At 46.0% G+C, this 23,342-nt stretch overlaps 1 protein-coding gene across 5 annotated transcripts in view, besides 2 other annotated features; it reads left to right on the top strand.

The window, feature by feature from the left end:
• MED27 (mediator complex subunit 27) overlaps positions 1-23,342 on the top strand; it is a 219,756-nt gene that overhangs the window by 170,725 nt on the left and 25,689 nt on the right. For 2 of the 5 annotated variants that reach the window (XM_017015329.2, XM_017015330.3), the window contains exons 5-6: positions 15,151-15,258; positions 21,110-21,199. The exons of 1 other annotated variant lie outside the window; for it this stretch is intronic. In XM_017015329.2, the coding sequence (XP_016870818.1) occupies positions 15,151-15,258; positions 21,110-21,199 (198 nt within the window). The remainder of the gene's footprint in view (positions 1-15,150; positions 15,259-21,109; positions 21,200-23,342) is intronic. 2 more of the 5 variants (NM_004269.4, XM_005272236.4) reach the window with 1 other exon arrangement.
• Positions 9,567-9,861: a silencer, noted in NCBI's record as "tiled region #801; K562 Repressive non-DNase unmatched - State 23:Low". NCBI's record gives its function as "represses a minimal TATA promoter and a strong SV40 promoter by Sharpr-MPRA in K562 cells {active_cell/tissue: K562}" and the evidence as "EXISTENCE:reporter gene assay evidence [ECO:0000049][PMID:27701403]".
• Positions 19,232-19,763: an enhancer, noted in NCBI's record as "H3K27ac-H3K4me1 hESC enhancer chr9:134764767-134765298 (GRCh37/hg19 assembly coordinates)". NCBI's record gives its function as "activates a minimal SCP1, AML or CMV promoter by ChIP-STARR-seq in naive H9 embryonic stem cells {active_cell/tissue: H9 hESC(naive)}" and the evidence as "EXISTENCE:reporter gene assay evidence [ECO:0000049][PMID:30033119]".

The following is a 23,342-nucleotide window of genomic DNA, read 5'->3' as shown; positions in this document are numbered from 1 at the left end:
AGAAGCCTGCAGGCTTCCTTACGTAGTTTCCCCTTTTTTCTCACTCCTCATATCCACTCCATCAGCAAATCATATCAATTCCTAAATTGATTGGCTTCTCACTTCTCTACTGCCACCACCCTAGTTGAAGCTGCTATTGTCAGAGGCATTTGAACCAGAGCAACTCCATCTTGAATAGGGGCTGGGTAAAATAAGGCTGAGACCTTCTGGGCTGCATTCCCAGGACGTTAGGCATTCTTTTATTAAAGTTCTTTTTTTTTTTTTTTTTAATTGATCATTCTTGGGTGTTTCTCGCAGAGGGGGATTTGGCAGTGTCATAGGACAATAGTGGAGGGAAGGTCAGCAGATAAACAAGTGAACAAAGGTCTCTGGTTTTCCTAGGCAGAGGACCCTGCGGCCTTCCGCAGTGTTTGTGTCCCTGGGTACTTGAGATTAGGGAGTGGTGATGACTCTTAACGAGCATGCTGCCTTCAAGCATCGGTTTAACAAAGCACATCTTGCACCACCCTTAATCCATTTAACCCTGAGTGGACACAGCACATGTTTCAGAGAGCACTGGGTTGGGGGTAAGGTCACAGATCAACAGGATCCCAAGGCAGAAGAATTTTTCTTAGTACAGAACAAAATGAAAAGTCTCCCATGTCTACTTCTTTCTACACAGACACGGCACCCATCCGATTTCTCAATCTTTTCCCCACCTTTCCCCGCTTTCTATTCCACAAAACCGCCATTGTCATGCTGGCCCGTTCTCAATGAGCTGTTGGGTACACCTCCCAGACGGGGTGGTGGCCGGGCAGAGGGGCTCCTCATTTCCCAGTATGGGCGGCCGGGCAGAGGCGCCCCTCACCTCCCGGACGGGGCGGCTGGCCGGGCGGGGGGCTGACCCCCCCACCTCCCTCCCGGACGGGGCGGCTGGCCGGGCAGAGGGGCTCCTCACTTCCCAGTAGGGCGGCCGGGCAGAGGCGCCCCTCACCTCCTGGACGGGGCGGCTGGCCGAGCGGGGGGCTGACCCCCCCACCTCCCTCCCGGACAGGGTGGCTGCCGGGCGGAGACGCTCCTCACTTCCCAGACCGGGTGGCTGCCGGGCGGAGAGACTCCTCACTTCTCAGACGGGGCGGCTGCCGGGCGGAGGGGCTCCTCACTTCTCAGACGGGGCGGTTGCCAGGCAGAGGGTCTCCTCACTTCTCAGATGGGGCAGCCGGGCAGAGACGCTCCTCACCTTCCAGACGGGGTCGCGGCCGGGCAGAGGCGCTCCTCACATCCCAGACGGGGCGGCGGGGCAGAGGCGCTCCCCACATCTCAGACGATGGGCGGCCGGGCAGAGATGCTCCTCACTTCCTAGATGTGATGGCGGCCGGGAAGAGGCGCTCCTCAATTCCTAGATGGGATGGCGGCCGGGCAGAGACGCTCCTCACTTTCCAGACTGGGCAGCCAGGCAGAGGGGCTCCTCACATCCCAGACGATGGGCGGCCAGGCAGAGACGCTCCTCACTTCCCAGACGGGGTGGCGGCCGGGCAGAGGCTGCAATCTCGGCACTTTGGGGGGCCAAGGCAGGCGGCTGGGAGGTGGAGGTTGTAGCCAGCCGAGATCACGCCACTGCACTCCAGCCTGGGCACCATTGAGCACTGAGTGAACGAGGCTACGTCTGCAATCCCGGCACCTCGGTAGGCGGAGGCTGGCGGATCACTCACGGTTAGGAGATGGAGACCAGCCCGGCCAACACGGCGAAACCCCGTCTCCACCAAAAAAATACGAAAACCAGTCAGGCGTGGCGGCGCGTGCCTGCAGTCGCAGGCACTCGCAGGCTGAGGCAGGAGAATCAGGCAGGGAGGTTGCAGTGAGCTGAGATGGCAGCAGTACAGTCCAGCTTCGGCTCGGCATCAGAGGGAGACCGTGGAAAGAGAGGGAGAGGGAGACCGTGGGGAGAGGGAGAGGGAGAGGGAGAGCACGTTAGGCATTCTTAGTCACAGGATGAGATAGGAGGTCAGCACAAGTACAGGTCACAAACACCTTGCTGATAAAACAGGTTGTGGTAAAGAAGCCAGCCAAAACCCACCAAAACCAAGATGGCAGCAAAAGTGACCATTGGTCATCCTCACTACTCATTATATGCTAATTATAATGCATTAGCATTTGAAAAGACACTCCCACCAGCACCATGACAGTTTACAAATGCCCTGGCAATGTCAGGAAGTTAACCTATATAGTCTAAAAAGGAGTGGAACCCTTAGTTCTGGGAAATACCCACCTCTTTCCTGGAAAACTCATGAATAATCCACTCCTTCTTTAGCATCTAATCAAGAAGAAACTGTAAGTATAGTCAGTTGAGCAGCCTGTCTATGGAGTAGCCATTCTTTTTTTCCTTTACTTTCCTAATAAATTTGCTGTCACTTTATGGATTTACCTCAAATTCTTTCTTGCACAAGATCCGAGAACCCTCTCTCGGGGTCTGGATCAGGATCCCTTTTCAGTAACACCATCATTCCCTCTCCTGGTCTTTCCATTTCTTCTCTTGATGCCTCCACAAAGCAGCCAGGAAGGTGTTCCTTTAAAAGCACACATCAGACATGCCACTTTTCTACTGAAAGCCCTACAGTAGCTTTCCATTTCACCCAGACAAAACTCAGCTCCTCATCAGAGTCTCAAAGGCCCCTGGTGGCCAGCCACACTCTTGCCCACCTGTCCGACCTCCTTTCTGTTCCTAGGATGCCAGGCCTTTGCAGGTGCTGCCCTCTCGGCCTGTGCTGCTCTGCTCCGGCACTGGGCATGGATGACCTTGTCTTACCCAGTAGGTTTCAATCAAACTTGAACCAACCCCCTTGTTAGCTTTGTTGTCTTCACAGCCCCATACGGACCAAATATTTTTTGTTTATTATCTGCCCACAACCCCCTCCCCCATCCAAGAATGTACAAGCCTGAGAGCACAAGTTGTTGTATTCCCTGCTCAGTCTCCAGTCCTTAGAACGATGCTTGGCACGTGGTGGGTACTTAATAAATATTTGAGTAAATGAGTGAGCAAGTGAATAATTGAGTGATCTGTTCTAAATGTCATTTTTTCACATGTAGATATTACCTGAGTAATCTCTCTTTAAGCTATCCCCGTTTTGTTCATTTCCTTCATAACTCTTTGCAATTTCTATGTCTGTATTTATACACTTCTTCATTGCCTGTCTCCTTCACTAGACTGTTAGCTCTGTGAATGTCTATTTCATTTCTCACTCTGGGTGCCTAATGCCTGGCCTGCACATAATATGTATTTAACAGATATTTGCTGGGTAGATGGGAGGAAGAAGGAACTGGAAGGGCGAACAATTTGCAGTCCAAGGCAGCTCTGGGTTCTTTTCCATGTTCTGCAGTCCAAATTCTGGAAGGAGGCAGGTTGGTTTTTTCTTTTCTTTTTCTTTTTCTTTTTCTGTTTTTTTTTTTTTTTTTTTTTTTTTTGACAAGGTCTTGCTCTTGCTCTGTCACCCAAGCTAGAGAGCAATGGCTTGATCACAGTTCACTGTAGCCTCAACCTCCCAGGCTCAAGAAATTCTCCCATCCCGGCTTCCCAAAGTGCTGGGATTACAGGCATGAGCCACCGTACCTGGTCCTGGAAGGACGCAGTTTTGTTGGCCTAAGCAGTATGAGGCAGAGCCTTCTCTACCAGGCCACTGTGTAGGGTGCCTACCCCTGGGCCAGCTGGTTCCACCCAGCACAGAAAACAGCAGCTTCCTTGGGTGGCAGGTAGTTTCAGTGAGACAGGAACACAGTGTGAGGCAGGCTTCATTACTGTCATGTTCAGTGTCATGTACAGATAAAGGACGTGTGCTGTCGAGGATTCCTCTTCACATCTGTTAGGAGCACCTTGACATTTTCAGTATGTTCAAGAAAACAGTAGCTTCCCATTTTGTCAGGTAACCTGTATCCCACTTGATTCACATAGAATCTTTTTGGATTGGAGGCCCTATTTTTATACAGGCATTGGCATTCATTCTGTATTCACTTTCCCTGGAAGGGCTATATTTTATATATTTGAATATACGTTTTATAAATTAAATGAGCTAATTTTGATAGTTTGGGGGATTTTTCCCAAGACTGCAAGGGAAGCCCAGAGGTAGCATGAAACCAAGATTGGGAAGCACAATTCTCTATTCTGTCTTTGTTTCTTTACATTTTATGTGAACTTGTGTTGTTATTATTGAAAGGGAGACGAGATGAGATAGGAAGATTGTGAAGAATTTTATATTTACAATGTGAGATGGAAAACTATTTCATAACCCTTCCCAGGCATGAAAACCTTTTATAACACTTGGTAAATGGATTAGTCCACTGTGTTGAAATTCCCCTCCAACCAGGATATTCTGAATTTAGAAGAGAGGAGAATATGGAAGAGCTAAGGAAAATTGGAAGTGCTGCCCAACTTGTTAACATTGATGGCTCTTTAGCAAATGACCCCAGTTCACTCGTGAGTGGAATAAGCTACCTCATAAAAAAACCTTGTTGGCCAGGTGCAATGACTCACACCTGTAATCCCAGCACTTTGGGCGGTCAAGGCAGGAGGACTGCTCGAGGCCGGGAGTTCAAGGCCAGCCTGGGCAACATAGTGAGACCGCTCCCCCCCGATCTCTATTTAAAAAAAAAAGAAAAGAAAAAAGAAAAATTAGTCCAGAAGTTCCAGGCTGCAGTGAGCTATGATCATACCACTGTACTCCAGCCTGGGTAATGGAGCAAGACCCTGTCTCTAAAAAAATAAGAAAAATATAAAAATAAAACACGTCTTATTAGGCAGGGTGTTTAATAATTTTTAAAAACAAGGATAACAGACTGGCCGCAGTGGCTCACACCTGTAATCCCAGCACTTTGGAAGGCTGAGGCAGATGGACTGTTTGAGTCCAGGAGTCTAAGACCAGCCTGGGCAACATGGCAAAACCCCATCTCTACAAAAAATACAAAAAATAGCTGGGCTGGTCGCAGTGGCTCACGCCTGTAATCCCAGCACTTTGGGAGGCCAAGACAAGTGGATCACGAGGTCAGGAGTTTGAGACCAGCCTGACCAACATGGTGAAACCCCCGTCTCTACTAAAAATACAAAAATTAGCCAGGCATGGTGGTTGCATGCCTGTAATCCCAGCTACTCAGGAGGCAGAGGCAGGAGAATCACTTGAACCCGGGAGGCAGAGGTTGCAGTGAGCCGAGATCACGCCACCGCACTCCAGCCTAGGTGACAGAGTGAGACTCCATCTCAAAAAAAAGAAAAAAAAAAAAAAAAGCTGTGTGTGGTGGCGCATGCCTATAGTCCCAACTATTTGGGAGGCTGAGGCAGGAGGATCACTTGAGCCTGGGAGGTGGAGGTTGCAGTGAGCTGAGATCATGCTACTGCACTCCAACCTGGGCAACAGAGTGAGACACTGTCTCTAAAAAAAATAATAATGACAACAGTGATAATATTTGCCACCATACAGGGAGTGCCTACTGAGTGCAGTGTCCAATAGTAGCTCTCGTGGACGCTCAATAGCATCAGCTGTGCAGTCCTTAGAGAGGGTTCCATGTTGGAAGTAAGAAAGCCCAGGTGCATGTGGGCCGCCTTTCCCAGGGCCACTCTGCTCTGTACATGGCAGAAGCAGTATCTGAACCTGGGTCTCAGGCTCCAAACCCCTGGTTATCCCACTCTGCCTTTCCCTGTGCCGAGGGGACTAATGGGGTAACACCTGTGATATGGTTTGGCTCTGTGTCCCCACCCAAATCTCATCTTGTAGCTCCCATAATTCCCACGTGTTGTGGGAGGGACCTGGTGGAAGATGATTGAATCATGGGGGTGGGTCTTTCCCGTGCCGTTCTCATGATAATGAGTGGATCTCACAAGATCTGATGGTTTTAAAAATGGGTGTTCTCTGCACAAGCTCTCTCTTTGCCTGCTGCCATCCACATAAGATGTGACTTGCGCCTCCTTGCCTTCCGCCATGATTGTGAGGCCTCCCTAGCCATGTGGATCTGTAAGTCCAATAAACCTCTTTCTTTTGTACATTGCCCAATGTCGGTTATGTCTTTATCAGCACTGTGAAAATGGACTAATACACCCGTGGCCACCACTGACCCAGCACTCTCATGGTTCAGATGTGGTGCTGAGCACTTCACATGCATGGTGTCATTCCTTCCAGGGTTGACAGGCAAGAAAACTGGAGCCTAAAGAGGGTAAGTGACTTGTTCAAGGTCACATAGCCAGGAAGGAGCAGAGCCAAGACACAAATGCAGGTCTTTTTTCCTCCCAGAGTCCAGAACTGTAGCTCCCATCTTGCTGGCACGTTGGTTTCTGACTTGTTGGCAAACAGACCCTAAATTCAGTTTGTCTGCCTCATTTTTCCTGGGACCTTGTCAAAGGAAAAATATAATTCCCCTCTTAGGGCTATAACAACTTTGTATCTGGAGTCTAGTCTGGACACGGGAGCCACCCCCAGGGCCATTTCTCCTTTCCTGTATCACATTATATTACATTGTGTTTTATCATCAGAGGCACAACTGGTTTGGTTTTGCAGAGCAAAATGAGTGACCTTCAGTATGGAAGAACATCGGTTTTAGCTTTGACAGTCCCTCGGTCTGACCTCTTGGTTTCCAAGTCACATCGCTCCGTTTTCTTTTTATGATTCAGTTACTGTCCCGCTCGATACAGTCCTGGTGGCCCCCTCTTCCTTGGCATGACAGTTTATCTTCTTTGCCCCAGCTCTGCCAGAGTTTCAGCCTTTCAGAGTTGGTCTGTCTCTGTTTTCTTTTGGTTGTATCCAATTTTACAGTTTTCCTAGAAAGAAGCAACAGCCAGTTTCCCTCATCCCCCTTGCTGCCGCAGCTCTCGAGCCTGCTGTTAAGAGGACAGTTCCGCCCAGCACGACTCTGTCAGGGCTACACATACCTAGCAGCTGTGCAGAATTCAGAGTGCTAACTTTTTAAAAAATGCTACAAGTAGAAGAAGCAAGTAGTTTATTAGCGTCTTAGAGATGGGGTCAGTGGTGTGTGTATGAAGTCATTTGTGAGGGAAGCCAGGAGTCTCGATCGGCAAGGCTTTAAGCCCTTTAACAGAGCCCTGGAGGAGGATTGCTGGGTGGCTGGAGGAGTCCATGACTCAAGGCTCTTTGGTCACCATTGCTTGTGATTTGCATGGATGTGGGGTCATGGGCCAGGCATGAGGTAGGGAAACAGCAAGAGACAGCTTCTGGCCCTTCACAGAAAACCAGTGACCTTCGACTCAAATCTTTCAAAACTTCAGCTTCCTTCTATTAAGAATGGGAATAAGACAACTGCCTGGGCTGAATCCCGGGTTGTTAGGCAGACAGAGGAGAAAGTTGCCTGCCCTGTGTGCATGCACCTGCCCTTGTTCCAGAGCAAAGGGGTAAATCTGCATGATATGGAGGAAAGACCCCCTAGGAAAAGTATAGGGGCACTGATGAGCTTTTACAGACCGTATCTAAAAACACCTCTTGGAGGAGATTCCCATTTGGAACCCCATTTGGGAACTGCTCATCTACATAGCCAACTCCACCCTTTCAAAATGTGCGGTGAATTAGGCAGGTGCTGAACCAGGCATTTTCTGGTTGTGCCAGACAGCTCAGTGAGGCAGTGCCCTCCTCCCTCCGTTCCTCAAGCACATTGTGAGCTCCAGGTGGCAGAGCACTTTAGGTGCCCTCCAGTGACTCCGGGCATATGTCGATTTTGTTACCTTCTTTAAGGTAGGAGCCACATTTGATACTTCTTAACCTCCCTAGGCCTCAGTTTACTTCTTTAGACATGGGAGAGTTAGAGAAAATGATTGTTTATATCCTTTTCAGCCTACAGTTCTATGATTCTGTGAATCAGTGTCCTTGCCCAGTGTTGCACACAGTACAGACATTTCTTCAACAAGACATTGTTCACTGCACTCACTTACCTTAGCCTGTTCTTTCTTTGGAATTAGTACAAAGAGAAAAGTTCTCAATATTGTATGAAGGAAAACACTTCCTAAATCTCCTTTGGGTGTGCCCGCCAGCCCCTCCTTTCCACCCTTCCTTCTTCTCTCCCCTCCTTCCCCCCTCCCTCCCTCATTCTCTCTCCCCATCTCTTCTTCTGTCTCTCTCACCTCTCTCTCCCCCTCTTTCTTTCTCTCCCCCCTCTCCTTGTGTCTCCCCTCTCCTCCTCTGTGTCTCTCTCCTCTCTCCTTCCCTCCTTCTCCCTTACCCTCTTTTTCTCTCCCTCCCTCTCTCTCCCTCTCCCTCTCTCTTTCTTTCTGCTGTACTTGGAAAAACATCATTTAAATTACAACAGATCCCTTAAGGGCGCCTACATATCAGACTTTTATTTTGTATACAGAAAATAACATTCATGGATGGTTTTACATAAATAGTTGGCTTCTTTTTAATTCTTTTTTAATAACACACTCCCCTCCCCAAAGCAGGGCTTAGACATGCCACCATTTGTCTAACTGACAAACCCCTGAACTATCCCCCTTCACCTCCCACACACATGCTTTCTGCCAGGTTGGGGATGCTATCTGGCCCCGGGTTCCTCGTGCAGGTAAGTTTTTGGTCAGCTCACCTCCCCTGATCCTAGATGCAGATACCGCTCAGTTTCAAAGCACTTTTCCCCCTACACGAGTTCTGGGGGAAGATCATTTTAAGTGACCAGCTCCTCTCACCTTCTCAGCTCACATGGTCAGGCAGTAGAGATATCATTTCAACCACCAGATTTGTTAGGTTTTTGTTAGACGTCAGTTGGCAGAGCTGAACTAAATACTTTTTCTACTTTCCTCCCACTTTTCCTTTCCTGTCTTGTGACTTGCCTTGCCACAGTGGATTAGAAATTCTCTTCGTGGAATACAGCTTGGCAGGCGATTGCTGGAAAAGCAGATAGAGAAGACCACTGGTTTCGGCCCCCGCTCGCTGCCCAGAGTGCAGCTGACCTGATGGGGGGGCTAGGCAGGGGCAGGTTTTATAAATGCACTTCTGGGAGGCGATGGCCAGATGGGAGGCGGGCTGGGCTTCCTCTTCAAGTGCACCTTGATGCCTGCACAGGAAACATAGTGCCTCCCCTGACTCTCTACCATGAGTAGTGAGCAAGCTCTTTGGAAATGTGCTGCTTGGTATAGAAAAGTGTTACCTTGGCAACAGCAAGCTCGCTTCATTACCAGATGGCATTAGCTTTTATTAGTGGTATCCTATAGCAGTTGCCAAGAGCCGACCTGTAGCCCCCGTCGGTGGGCGTTTTGCTTCTGACTGTGACCAGCATTGGCTAGTTTGTGGAAAGATGCCCATTGGCCTCTATGTGCTGCATCTCTTTATCAGTCTATCAAAAAGTTCAAGGTCACTACAACCTGGTGCATGCAGATACGTTAGAAACTGGCACATGCCAGACACATGAGAATCGGAATCATTGTAGAGCGATGTGAGGGCTGGAAGGTCTGCTAGAGAGCGCACACCAGGCTCCATCTCGATGGCAGAGCCAGGAGGGCTCCTGTTACGTTACCCTTCCTGCTGCACCACACTCCGAAGAGAAAGGACGCTAACAGCCATTGAGCTTTGCTGTCCACCGCACCCCTAGGCCCAAGTTTTACATGGATCGCCTCCTTCAATTTCCTCAAAAGGTCCCACCGCATTTCACAGCTGAGTAAACAGGCACCAGAGGTTGTCTGAGTTGCCCTGGGTCACACTGCCTGCAAGTGGAGAATGAGGGCCTGAAGCACAGTGCTGGAGAGTAGGAGCAATTGATTTGCACACCAAATGGCCACCGCCAGGAGGTCTGGCTGCCTGACCCTCAGGCTTGCAGGCACTTTCTGCTCAGTGGTCGCTCAGCAGACCCCACAGTCTTATTCATCCTTCAGGTCCAGCACAACTGTCACCCCCTCTCAGCTTCCTGTAGCCCCAGTTGTGACAGCAGGAGGGAAAATTAACATAAGGACCAGGTCAGCCAGTTCACTGACCTGGCTACAGCAGCAGTTCTGGTTCCAGCTTTGACGTTAACTGGCTTCAAACCGTTTCACCTCCATAAAGTCCAAACAGGGGTTTGGGCCAAGTAACAATAGCATTGCCACTGAGCACTCCCTGTGCCAGGCCCTGTGCCATCCCCTTCACCTGTGCATTGTCTCACTGACTCCTCACAGTCACTCTGAGATGGGAGTGCCATTATCTCCATTTAGATGTTCAGAGAAGGTAGGTAGCTAGGCCAGGCTTTCCAACAGCAGAGCCGAGACCTGATTCTAAAGCCTCAAAATGTTAGGCTTCAAAACTGGGTATATTATTACCATGTTAAAAATCCAGGCCGGGCGCAGTGGCTCATGCCTATAATCCCAGCACTTTGGGAGGCCAAGGTGGGAGGATCATATGAGGTCAGGAGTTCAAAACCAGCCTGGCCAACATAGTGAAACCCTGTCTTTACTAAAAATATGAAAATTAGCCGGGCGTGGTGGCACACGCCTGTAATCCCAGCAACTAGAAAAGGCAAGGAAGGAGAATCGCTTGAACTTTGAAGGGAGGTTGCACTAGCCAAGATTGTGCCACTGCACTCCAACATGGGAGACAGAGCGAGACTATCTCAAAAAAAAAAAAATGCATAAAGCCATAATTCTATGCCTATTCAACTTAGATGAGCACCAGGATCTTTTTTGGCTCTATAAAAAATAAGAATTGGCTGGGCGCGGTGGCTCACGCCTGTAATCCCAGCACTTTGGGAGGCCGAGGGCGGGTGGATCACCTGAGGTCAGGAGTTCGAGACCAGCCTGGTCAACATGGCGAAACCCTGTCTCTACTAAACAAAAATACAAAAATTAGCTGGGTGTGGTGACAGGAGGCTGAGGCAGGAGAATCGCTTGAACCCAGGAGGCAGAGGTTGCAGTGAGCCAAGATCACCCCACTGCACTCCAGCCTGGGTGACAGAGCAGGACTCCATCTCAAAAATAATAAATAAATAAGAATTGACAAACTTCATAGAGCTTTATGGATTCAGAAGATCCCAAAAGTAAGCCAGTGCAAGACTTTTCATACTGACTATCCATAAACTACTATAGCCCTGGAAGTCATCTTGCCAAAAAAAAAAAAAAAAATCAAACCTGCATCTCATCTAATTATCAATTGGCAGGTAATACAGAGGAAGGAGCAGCATGTTAAAGTATACCACTGGGATGCCACCAGCAAAATCCAGACTGTGGAAAACTCTGTAGGAGATAACCCAGTTTCTTCAGCACATAAAATGGGGACATGGGGTTGGGAGGGGGATCTCTTTAGTTTGGGAAAGACTTATGAGACATGTCAACCAGTCACATTGTGTGGACCATATTTGGATCCTGATACGAGCAGACTTGTAATAAAGTGGCAAAAGTAAAATCCAACAAACCCCTTCCCTGCCCAAAGTGCCAACTTAATTGATTTTTAAAAACTTCTTATTATGGAAGATTTAAAAACATATACACGAGTAAATGAAATAGTACAAAGAACCCCATGAACCCATCCCAGCTTCAACAATGACCAACTCTTGGCCAATCTTGTCACCTCCACCTCCACCTCCTTTTCCCTCCCTGTGTTACTCTTCTGAAACAAATAACAGCCATGGTATCACTTCATCTGTAGATATTTCAGTACGTATTTCTCAAAGGGTTCCAAAAGCACATAAGCAGAACCATGACACCCACATCTCATACAATAATAACGCTCCAGTATTATCAAGCATGTAGTTCAGTGTTCAGATTTCCAACAGTCTCATAAGTTTTGATTTGATTTAGTAGTGCCCATCGCTGACAAGAACAGAATGAAATAGGTGTGTTCATACCTTTCTGGTTGGCATAACCGTTGTGGTTAGCAGTTTGGCAGATTATATCAAAAGCCTTAAAATATTTGTATTGTTTGCCACAGTAGTTATGACTTTGCAAATCTAGGGAAATAATTCCAAATGTGGTGAAAACTTTGTGAACAAAAATATACACTGTGGCCATATTTATATTAGGGGAAACTTGGAAGTAACCCGAATGTCCACCAATAGGAGAATGGTTAAAGAAATTATAGGATATCCTCTCAGTAGAATGTCGTGCAGCAATGCAACACTGATTGTGAAGACTATATAGCAGTATGGAACAATACTTGTCATAGTTTTAAGGAAAAATTTGATTTGAAAATATACATGACTGGGCGTGGTGGCTTGCGCCTGTAATCCCAACACTTTGGGAGGCCAAGGCGGGCGGACCATGAGGTCAGGAGTTCAAGACCAGCCTGGTCAACATGGTGAAACCCCGTCTCTACTAAAAATACAAAAATTAGCTGGGCGTGGTGGCGCACGCCTGTAATCCCAGCTACTCAGGAGGCTGAGGCAGGAAAATCGCTTGAACCCGGGAGGCGGAGTTTACAGTGAGCCGAGATGGCACCACTGCACTCCAGCCTGGGCGACAGAGCAAGACTCTGTTTCAGAAAAAGAAAAAAGAAAGAAAATATATATATATAGTTTCATTATAACGATGTTAGAAATTCAAAAACCATAAGCCTTTGATAATAAAATGATTGAAAGGAAGTACCCCAAAATGTTAATGGTGATTATCTTTCCATCTCAAGACCAGGAACAACTGTCTTCTTCCTTTGTTCTCTAATTTTAGATTTTTCCATAATAAACATTTATATTTTTAAGTATTAGTTAACTTTAAAATACCAAAATTAACTTTTAATAGAAAAAAATTTGAATATAAAATTTCTGGTGTTATTAGTATGTATTTCTAAAATCCATCTTAAGAAACTTAAATTACAAAGGCAATTTATTATTTAATTAATATCAGCCAGGTTTTGATGTTTCAGGAAACAATTGCTTAGTCACCTAGGCTTATTAGCAAAGAAAGTTAAAATGTGCAGTTACAAACAGTGGCCCTTCCAGAGGAGAGCTGTGGAGAACATGTGGGACCTACATTCACTTTAGCCTAGTGAGAAGGTATCGATTTCAGTGTCTGTAACTACAAAACTATAACTTGGCCGGGCGTGGTGGCTCGTGCCTGTAATCCCAGCACTTTGGGAGGCCAAGGCAGACAGATCACTTGAGGTCAGGAGTTTGAGATCAGCCTGGCCAACATGGTGAAACCCCATCTCTACTAAAAATACAAAAAACTTAGCCAGATGTGGTTGTGCACACCTATAGTCCCAGCTACTCGGGAGGCCGAGGCAGGAGAATCGCTTGAACCTGGGAGATGGACGTTGCAGTGAGCCGAGATCACACCACTGCACTCCAGCCTGGGTGAAAGAGCAAGACTTCGCCTCAAAAAAAAAAAACAACTATAACTCAGTTGCTCTCCCTCCCTCCCTTTCTTCCAGTAGGCTCCATGTTGACTAAAGACAGAGTTACTCACTCTACCTCCATGGTTTATTGGCATCCTTAGATAGGGATTTTCAGTAACACAAAAAAATGACCCATTGATTGGACATAGGACAACAAAAAATAAAGAGACCCACTGAACATTACATGGTGTGACAATATTTAAAAGTGTTATACAGAAATAGGATGCCTTTATTAGCAGTCCCTTAAATGTAAATAAATGTTTTTTCTTACCATGTTTGTATTCAGTACTATTTAAAGTATACAGAAATAGAGCTATCAACCTAACGCTTGAAATTATTGAAGGAATCAAACGTTGGGGGTGTTCACTGATACCCAGGACTAATCAAGGAAAGAGGAAGGTTGTTGTTGAGGATGATCAGTTGGAAAACTGCAAGGAATGGGGATATAAGGAAGGGGTGATTAGAGGTGGCATCCCCAGAAACTGACGGCAGGTCGGAGTTGAAGGATCAGGATTGCCATCTGGGGCTAAGGCTCTTACCTTAGGCAGCTCAGCAGGGCTTCCTTTCAGCAAATTCTGTGACGTCAAAACCTCATCAGAGCAACTCGCACTATGGGCGGGTGGGTCCCAGGCTGGGGTCTGCGTCCAGGTTCTCATATACGAAATGAAAAGCTTTAGCAAAGTCTTAGAAGAGTTACGTGAGCCCCTCGTCTTCATCCGTATATTGTTTATTGTTGCTATAACCAAATACATGAAGCTGGGTAGTTTATAGGAAAAGAGATTAAGCTCACAGTTCTGCTGGTTAGGAAGTATAAGAAGCATGATGCCCGTATCTGCTTCACCGTCTGGCGAGGGCTTTTGTGTTGCACCGCATCACAAACATCGCAACATGGTGGAAGGTCTAAGGGGAGGCAGACACGTGTGAAGGCCAAAACCCAAGGGGTATCCTGGCTTTATAACAAGCCACTCTCGAGGGAGCTGATCCAGTCTTGCCAGAGCAGGGACACAGTATGTCGAGAATGAACCCAGCCATTTCTGAGGGATCCGCCTCCTTGACCCAAACACCCCCCACTAGGCCCCACCTCCCAACACCACATTGGGGATAAAATTTCAAGCTGAGTTTTGATGGGGGGAAACAGCCATATCCACACCATAGTGTCCCTAAAGAAGGGAAGGTGCTGTTTCTATTCTTGGTGCTGAGCCTATTCCAGCAAGCACAGCAGGTTCCTTTTTCCCTGGCATACATGAAACTGCACTTTTTTTAGGATTTTTTTTTTTAATGTATAATATGTGCTTAGGTTCTGAGAGTAAAAGCACTTAAATGTATTTCCAGGATCATGTTTCTTTTTTGAAGATAAAATTCAGCTACTTTCCTTTTACCTCCTGACTTTATTTGGTATTGCTTTTCCACTTTTACCAGTTACTATAAATAGATAGTTCAACCAAGAGGCATTTGGTACTTGCCTTTGCTCTGTATATTGTACTCTGTACATATTGCATAGGTATACATAGGGCCATGAGCACGAAACAACGTGCTCACTAAATCCTATAATTGCCAGAATTGTAGAATCCTCGCCTTTGAAAAAGAAAATCTTAAAATGGGAAAGGGAAGGATTTTACTTTTTCCAGCAGATAGTAAACATATGAAACTTATCCTCAGAGTTTGTAAGCCAAAAATATAAATAAATTTAGGGAAGTTAGACGAGTTGAGGCCCAAAACATTTTTCAGTGATCACAGAAAGAACTTGCTGTTATTGAGAGTTCATTTTCCAGTGCTGGAGGATCCACAGGGCCAGCACCATGAATCCAGTCTCACTGGATTGGCCAGGTGGTCATTTCTTCTCACACCCCTGCCCAACTTTGTGTGATTTGCGTGTTCAAGTGTCAGCTTACATGTGTTTTGGCAGGTGACCTTGGGAAAGGTGTTGAAAGTGATCGTCGTCATGCGGAGCCTGTTCATTGATCGAACAATAGTAAAGGGATATAACGAGAATGTCTACACAGAAGATGGCAAGGTAAGCATTGTGCAGTCTTGTGTGTTCCTTGGTTTTCTGTATCCCAGAACAAGTGTAGTCGAATTCCAGATGAATGGCATTAAAAACTAGCAATCATAGCGGAAATGATCAGCAAACATAGATTTGTCAGTGTGAGGATGCACACTTTGTGAAAAAACATTTCATTCTCTCTGCTTGCATTCTCCATCAAGCTTCTGCTTTTTCCTCTAAGCCTGATGCCCTTAGTTGAATTTCTAATTTATCACCTTAGACCCCAGTTGCCTCATTAAATGTGTCTTCTGAGGAAATGGATTTTTTTCCCCAAGTCAAGCAGCTCCTCAGTAGCCCAAGGTTCAGCATTTTGCTTTTCCTAGAACCACGAGGAAAATTCCCATTCATTTGACACAACCTGATGACACTCTTTTTCCACAAAACTAACAAGTCGCCCTTAGGAAGTGGCTGTGCACAGCAGCATATATTGAATACTGCTGTTGAAAGAAGACGTGTTATTTCCACGGGTGACTTGTTTCATGGAAAGTTCACCCTTGTGAACCCCTAATTCCTTTTGACTGCACAGTCTCCATATGGCTCCACAGAGAGCATCAGAGGATGCTGATGGGAGCTGACAGCCTTCATTTGTGTTTGCACCAGAGTGTAATGAACACCGTGCCTGAGATGCCCCACACTCTTCCAGGCCACTCTCAGCACGGAGCCTGGTCTCCCCACCCCATCGGGAGCCTTTCCTTCCTCATGACTCTCATTAAAATGTAAAAGTTTGTTAGTATGAATACTAGCACTCACCACCCAACAGCCACATTATAATGAGAATAGAATGTTCTTCAAAAAAAGGTGGTAACTGTGGCTTAGCACATAGCAGGGCGTTACATAAGAAGCACAGCCCGTGATATAATGAGATGTGTGTTTTGAACAAGTAACCCAGCATTTCCACATTCCACACAAGTGTTGTCTACGTGGGATGCAACTCCTGCTCCAAGGACTGTGCCCAGTTCTCGTAAATTTCCTCGTTGATACCAAATCATTCATTGAGGGGAGATTTCCTTTTTCTTTTTGGAAAAACCAAATGTCTTTGGAGCATGCATGTAAAGTGAGTAATCAGTCAGGTGTAGTCTGTGCGTCTGATTTGTAAACTCTGACAGCTGCTCCAGAAGGTTCCACACTGTTGGTCAGCAGGAGAGGCAGCACTGAGGGTAGTGTATACCCTCGCAGAGACCATGGGCAGTGGCATTTTGAGATGCCATTCTTGTTGGGTTTTTTCAAAGTTGACAACTTCATAGTCACTCCTGGTACAAAACATAGCCCTTGCTTGCCAAGGACTTACAAACGAATTGGAGAGTTGAAGAACAAATACGTAGAAAGGTGAGTCATAATCAGGACCGTGCTACTAGAGTTACCAAACTTAGGGTGCAAATGAAGCATGCTCTGAATTGAGATCATAAGAAGGAGTGGAAATTTACCTACTTTGCATGATACCTTTAACACTCTATTTAATTGCCCCTTACTGAAAGTGTCTGAAGTAGTACACATAAAGCACTTGGCACTTTGCCATCTAGTCAATACTCAGTAAATGATAACTAGTATTATTTTTATTCTAACTTAAAATAACAGTCTTGAAATATAGAGTCTCAGAGGTATGGTGCTTCCAAAACACCTCTGATCGCCCCTCCTCAGCTGCTCCAGTTACTTCCTTCTTTCTTGTCTTCCCCCTTGACTTCCCAGTTTCCCAGAGTTTTCTTCTCCCTCTGCGCATTCTCTTTGGCCATTCTCATCCATGTCACCCACACAAGGATCACTCATGATTTGTTTCTAGATCAGACTTCCCGTGTTCCTCAAGTTTAGCCTGTCTAAAACAAAACTCATCATCTCTCTCCCTACACTCAGTTTCCCTCCTCTTTTCCTTATCTTGGTTAACAGTACCCCCACCTAATTGGTTAAAGCTTTCTTCCCTTCATCCCGCCGGTCTAGGCTGTCAGTGATTACTGGCAGTTCTCCCTCTTAAGTAACTCTCAAACTGGGCCCCCCATCCCTCTCCACCCCTCTCGCTCCTCTCCGGCTCTCATTATCTCTGCACTGAAGAATGCACGCACCGCCTCACTTCTAGTCTCCAGTCTTGCTTCCCTCACAGTCTGTCCTTCACTTGGCTTCCAGAGCTGTCTTCCTAAAATACACATGCGAGCGGATGATTCTCTTTCTTTTTGCCATCTCCCCCTTGCCCAAAGCAGCCCTCCCCAAAGTAGGAAAGTAGGATATTAATAGATGTTAGGCAGAAAGCAATGCATGGTCAAACAAGTTTGAGAAACTCTGGGTTAGAGAAAGTTCAGTGGGTTTCTTTACTGTGGAAACCAGTTTGCTGATGTGCCTTATGAATATCTTACAGGGAGTAGAGAGTATGCAATATTTTCCTAACTTATTTGGCCACCAAATTCTTTTTATCTTCTTTTATTCTTAGAGCATATTGTGACATTGCCATTTTGTAGAATATACTTCTGAAAACTCTGGCTTGTAGCATAAAATCCAGACTCCTCTGCAAGGCGTCTAAATGCCTCATGGCGCAGCCTCTGCCTTCCTTTCTGACTTCATCTGGCATCATTCTCTACACACACCTCATCTTATCTCCAGCCGCGTGCTCCCTGTAGCTTCCATGACATGCCAGACTCTTTCACGTATTTGCACGTTTTGTGCCTTTTGCCCTGGGATCCCTCCTAGTCCAGCTGACAAAGTTTTACTCTTCCCTTTACAGTGGCTGAATGCCATCTTCCTTCCCATCCTGTCTCCATTTTCCCAAGAGCCTCTTTGCTTATGAACATGGGCTCTAGAGATGGCCGACCTGGGTTTGCCTCTCCTTACAGCACAGAGTTATCATCATTATCCATACACCCATAGAATTCAGAACAATCTTTTCCTAGTACTAGAATTGGTGCATCATGATTATTTACATGTCCATCTTGCAATTAATAAAAATACTAACAATACTAACATACGTTGGTCAGGCAGGCACTGCACAAAGCGAACTTTGCCCACGGTGGCTGTCGAATCCTCCTCACAGCATCATGAGACAGGTGCTGCTCTTAGACTCATCTTACACATGGAGAAACTGAGACCTAGAATGGTAACGTTGCCCACAGCCACACAGGGCTGGATCTCAATCCTGCATCTACCAGGAGCTCCTCAAGGGCACAGGCTCCATCGTGTGACTGTCTGTCTGTAGGGTGCACTTCTGTGCCAGGAGCACGGTAGGAGCCCAGTCCTGTCTGGGAGGAGATGATGAAAAAGCCTACTTGGGATATGAAAATGCTTAAGCTGGAATGGAAAGTGGAGAATCAAAAATGAGAAATGGGGACTAAAAGGAGCGGCAGTAATTGAAGTTGTAAATAAGTCAGAGGATAAAGGAGACACACGAGTAAAGGGAGACCTCAGGCCCTCCTGATGAGAGATTAGCCCGGCCTCTCTCTTTCTCCGAAGGAAAATGGCTGTACATTTGGGACCCTGGTTGACATCAGAAATGTGGTTGGACAGGAAGCCTTGCGTCCCCCTTTACAACTGTATGCGTTGGCCCAAGCAGTGCTTAAGCAGGGACCCTAAAAGTGGAAATTGCAAGACCGAGAGAACCAGGCCTCTTTGTTATTTTAAGGACACACTGACCACATTTGGCAGAGAAGCTCTCAAATGACTGTTCCACTCAGAATCTCATCCTAGCCAATTTGATTAGCCCCTTTTTTTCAGAGCACTTCACAAATGATAAAAATAAACCATGCAGACATTATTAGTGCTCTATTTTGAGTACTCTGTGTGTGTGTACTTTATTTATATACAATCTAGGCATTAGTGCAATTAATGTGTTGAATTGTCTGGCACATCCCAAATGAAATGTGGCGTCTGGAAGGAGCCCTTGGGGCCTGACATGTGTTCTACAAGAGCACGTTGTTGCTGGAGACGTCGCTGCTCCCGGGACGCAGCCTGCGTTTGCTGAGTTGGTGCCTAGGTGGCTGCAGGGGGGTGTTTTGCTGCAGTCTCCTGGAGCACAGCCACAGAGGCCCTGGGTGTGGCTCAGGAAGCCTCCTATGGGCTTAACTTCTGCCTCTGCGGTTGTCTCTGTCCTCCAAGCCCAAAGCAACCAGCACATTCGAAAGTTTCATTATCCTTCTTGCTGCTGTAGTGGCCCAGCACCACCCCTAATTTCCAGACCTTGCAGGTTTTTTCCCCATCAGAATCCAGCCCAGCAAGGCTATCACTTTGCACTTTGCACTTTGCTCTAACAACCACCGCCATGACCCTAGCATCCTGTCTCTTTACCTGCAATGCATATTTTTGATACCAAGGACCAATAGCCTGATTCCTCTAATAAAATAAAAATGCTTTTCAGACTTACCAACCACTTATTCATTGTACTCAGGGAGTAGCAAGAGCCACGACTCAGCATGTTAAAAGGCAGGATTGAAGATGAATACCTGGCCATTGTCCTGATTTTATACCAGTCAGACTTAACTGAAAAAAAAATGTGTCTCGTTCGAATTTAACTTTTTGGGGGATTTAGGTTATGTTAATGCTATAGCTTCATTAATTACCCCATATCAATAAAAAAGGCAGCTTTTAGCCTCCGAGCATAAGAGAGGAAAAGAAATGGTGGTATCAAAGGAAACCTTCAAAGACAGCCAGAGCTGTCTCCAGGGTAATTTCTGATCCCTGCATTCTTCCCACTTCAAAGTTGGCTGTGTGTGTGCATGTGGGTCGAGGGGGTGGGGAGCTGAATCTGATTTCTCTAATAAGTGTTGGCATCAGCCCTGTTTGATATCAGATGCAGGGAACATTTTGATTTGTTATAGCCTTTGAAATTGTTCAGATGACCTTCAGAAAAATGGCCTCTTGTTACTTCTAGGGGGAAGGGTGAAAGCCAGGGAAAGGGGAATCCAGTTTAATTCATATGCAGAGGATTCCCTGAAATTGTGCTTTCAGCAGTTTTTTAGTAACAAATGCATGTCCTGATTGAAAGTGAAAAGTTGAAGAATAATAGACCTGTAACACTGTGTTCTTGGGTGAGGCTCTTGTTCACTCTTATTCTCTGGGGAGGGTCAGCAGATTTGAGAGGGTGACCACATAGAAGTTTATGGTTTGGAAAATGTGGGTAACAACATGGAGAGATCCGTCACCATAGCTGGTTTGCAGCATTCTACCCAAACTGATAGGCCTATCACCTGTTCACCTTGCAAGACGAAGCTACTAAATAGAGGTTCTAAAAGTTGGAACCTCGTGTGGCTTACGAGTTTTATTTAGATAATTTTGAATCGATTCCACTGTTTTTTGAAATGAAGTATTGATAACTTTCTGATAAGCTGCCAAAATGTTCACTTGCTGTTACATGAATTTTAGTGGCAGTGGTTGTCACAGCAGCAGGCCTCAAAGCAGAACTATGCTCCCAGAAGAGCTGCGCAAGTGACAGCTTAGGGAGCGCGCAGCCCCGGCATCCTGCCTGCTGTCTAACTGGAAGGCAGTCTCTTCCTCCCAGGGTAAGAGCTGGGCCTCTGCACACAGACCTGGTTTCAAATTCCCCCACCTCGCATTAACTATGCAATGGTGGACAAGTCACCTAACTTCTCTGAGCCTCAGCGTCCTCATCTGTGAATTGGAAATGGTTTTATCAACCTCATGTTATTGCCAAAAGGATTTTAAAAGTAACGCAGGTAAAGGGCAGGCCGAATGCGTCATCTTCATCAGTAAATGGCATCCGCCCTTGCTGGTTGTGATGGAGGTGGTGGTGGTGGTCAGCATTGCAGACAGAATCACCTGCCTGCTGATACTGGGTCGCTCTGATTGTTCTTGTCAGTGAATAAATTTGATTTGTCACCATTTTCACCAGTTCTTCCTGTGTGTCAAGAGGTCTTTTGATGTCTTGGTGTTTGCCCTGAGAACAGACGTGTCTGTGCTGAAGCAATTGGTCATCTGCAAGGTTTGTTTTCATTTCACCTGAGAACAGACCACACCCCACCCTTAAAATACTTACTGCAATCCCCAGAGGCCAGGAGGCTGCTCCTGAGACTGCAGACTCAGCCACCAATTACCACAAGGTTGACTTTTGTGTTTTCAGATCTTTCTTATGCTTGCTCAGAATACTGAAGGGTGCTTCGCTTTCTTTTTCCTGACACTATAGTTCAGAATAATTTCTTGTTCATCAGGTTGAAGGTTTGCAGCTTCCAGAATGCTCCTTTTTTGAATATTGCAGCCAGCAAAGAATTGGTAGCCATGTCTGCCTCTGCAGTAAATAAGCTGAAGCTAATAAATATTCACTTGGATCAGTCCTGGCTCCCTGAAATGAATTTCTGAAATCTTCCTGGCCCTGAGGAGAGGCAGGGCATTGACTCCAGAATGCTCATTTCTGGCTTTCTTTGGCATAAATCTAGCAGAAAATCAAGTACGAACCACCTGCTGTGCACTCCTAGCAAAAGAGGGCCCTATGGTTAAGGGGTCCCTTTTTCACCCATGCGCACCAGGTAAATAGACCGTATTATCTAAGGTCCTTCTGTCCCAGATGGTAGGAGCTTTTCCCTAGGGTCCTGAATAATACATTTAAACCTTTTAAAAAGAGCATCATCCTCACTTTGAATAAATGTGGTGTGTTTTGAGAATCCACAATGAGGCTGGAGAGGCCATGTTTTCATTAAACCAATGCATATTTTTCTCTAGATTTTTTTAAATTAAGACATTTTGCAGATACTGAAGGATTTTTAAATATGTTTAACTTTTAAATAAAAACTATAACTTTTTAATGTAGCAGATTCTTCTTTTCTGTTTTTCTTGGCTCTGTGTTTATGTCTTGGTCTGCTTATGTATGATGTAAGCAGGCAGGAAGGGTAAACAGTGAAGAAGTTCAGAAGAAACAGCTGTGGGCTCAAAATGGAAGGAGAACTATATTAGTTCCAAGTTCAGACATCGGTGTTCCTCTTCCTAAAACTGAGATTTGGAATCTTTGGCTTCTCTCTGTCATCTTGGCAGTAATTTTGGTACAACTAAACGATGCAAAAGTCATTCTTATTCATCCTGCAACCCCTGAATAATCTTTAAATGCTGCATTTGTTAAGCCCTGTGCTAAACTGCGGCACTGAGAAAGTAATACGAACCCGATTTATCCTCCCAAATATGACCAGCTGCCCAACAGTAGTTTTCTTCAACAGAATTGATAATGTGGGGAATTAATTTCATATGTTTCTTTTGAGGTTTCCCTCAGAGTTATCTGGAGGTAACATGTCACTTTTCCCCTTGCAAATTGTTGAGCTGTCACATTATAATTCCAGCACTGGAAGATCTTTAAAATTCTTACTCCATCCAGTGGTTTCAGTGGGGGGCACTGACTGGCAATTGACACCACCTTTCTGAAGAGCAGTTTAGCCAGAGTAGAAGGAGGATGATCTGTTGAGGGTTTTTGTGGCAATGCAAGAAGGAGATGGTGCAGGCAGTGGGGGTAGGGAGAAGTGGGTGATTGAGGTTCATTTTTCCTATTGAATGAATGCTTGATCAGTGAAAGCTCCTCCATGATTTGTCATGGAGTTCGATGAGCTGAACTCATGGAGTTCCTCTCCTGCGGAAGTACAGAGTGGCCTCCTCAGAATCATCTTAACCTTCTCTACTGTCCTAAAAGTTTTCAAACACAGTGAAATTTTCATGAAACTAATTGTGAACAGGGAAAAGCCAGGAGAACTAAATGTATATGCCTGTTCACAGCCCTGCTTTTAATTTCCAAGCACTGTTTTCAGAAAGCCAGGTTTCAGTGTATTCCGCAGAATAGACACAGAGCTCTGAAGTGTCCTGGGTCAAATGCAACACATCCTGTCCTGTCTTCTTAAAGGACTTTTCCTGTCCAATGGCTTCCCAATGCTTTCTGGTGTTCCAAAATCAATCACACACCACACAGGCCTAAACCGCCATGGCCCAGGGCTCTACCTGACCGCTGGCCAACCCCCAAGGCAGGTTCCCAGAGGCCCATTGACCAGGTGTTCCATTCACTCAACTCTTGAATTCATATATTAAAGTCAACTTTTTAGCACCTATGGGACACAGTGATGGCTTTCTCGTTTCCTCATTGCCCTTGAGCCGTC

Source organism: Homo sapiens, chromosome 9, assembly GCF_000001405.40.
Source record: "Homo sapiens chromosome 9, GRCh38.p14 Primary Assembly".
NCBI classification, from domain to species: Eukaryota; Metazoa; Chordata; class Mammalia; order Primates; family Hominidae; genus Homo; species Homo sapiens.
The sequence above is the reverse complement of the archived record's forward strand: the minus strand, read 5'-3'. Positions and strand labels throughout refer to the sequence as shown.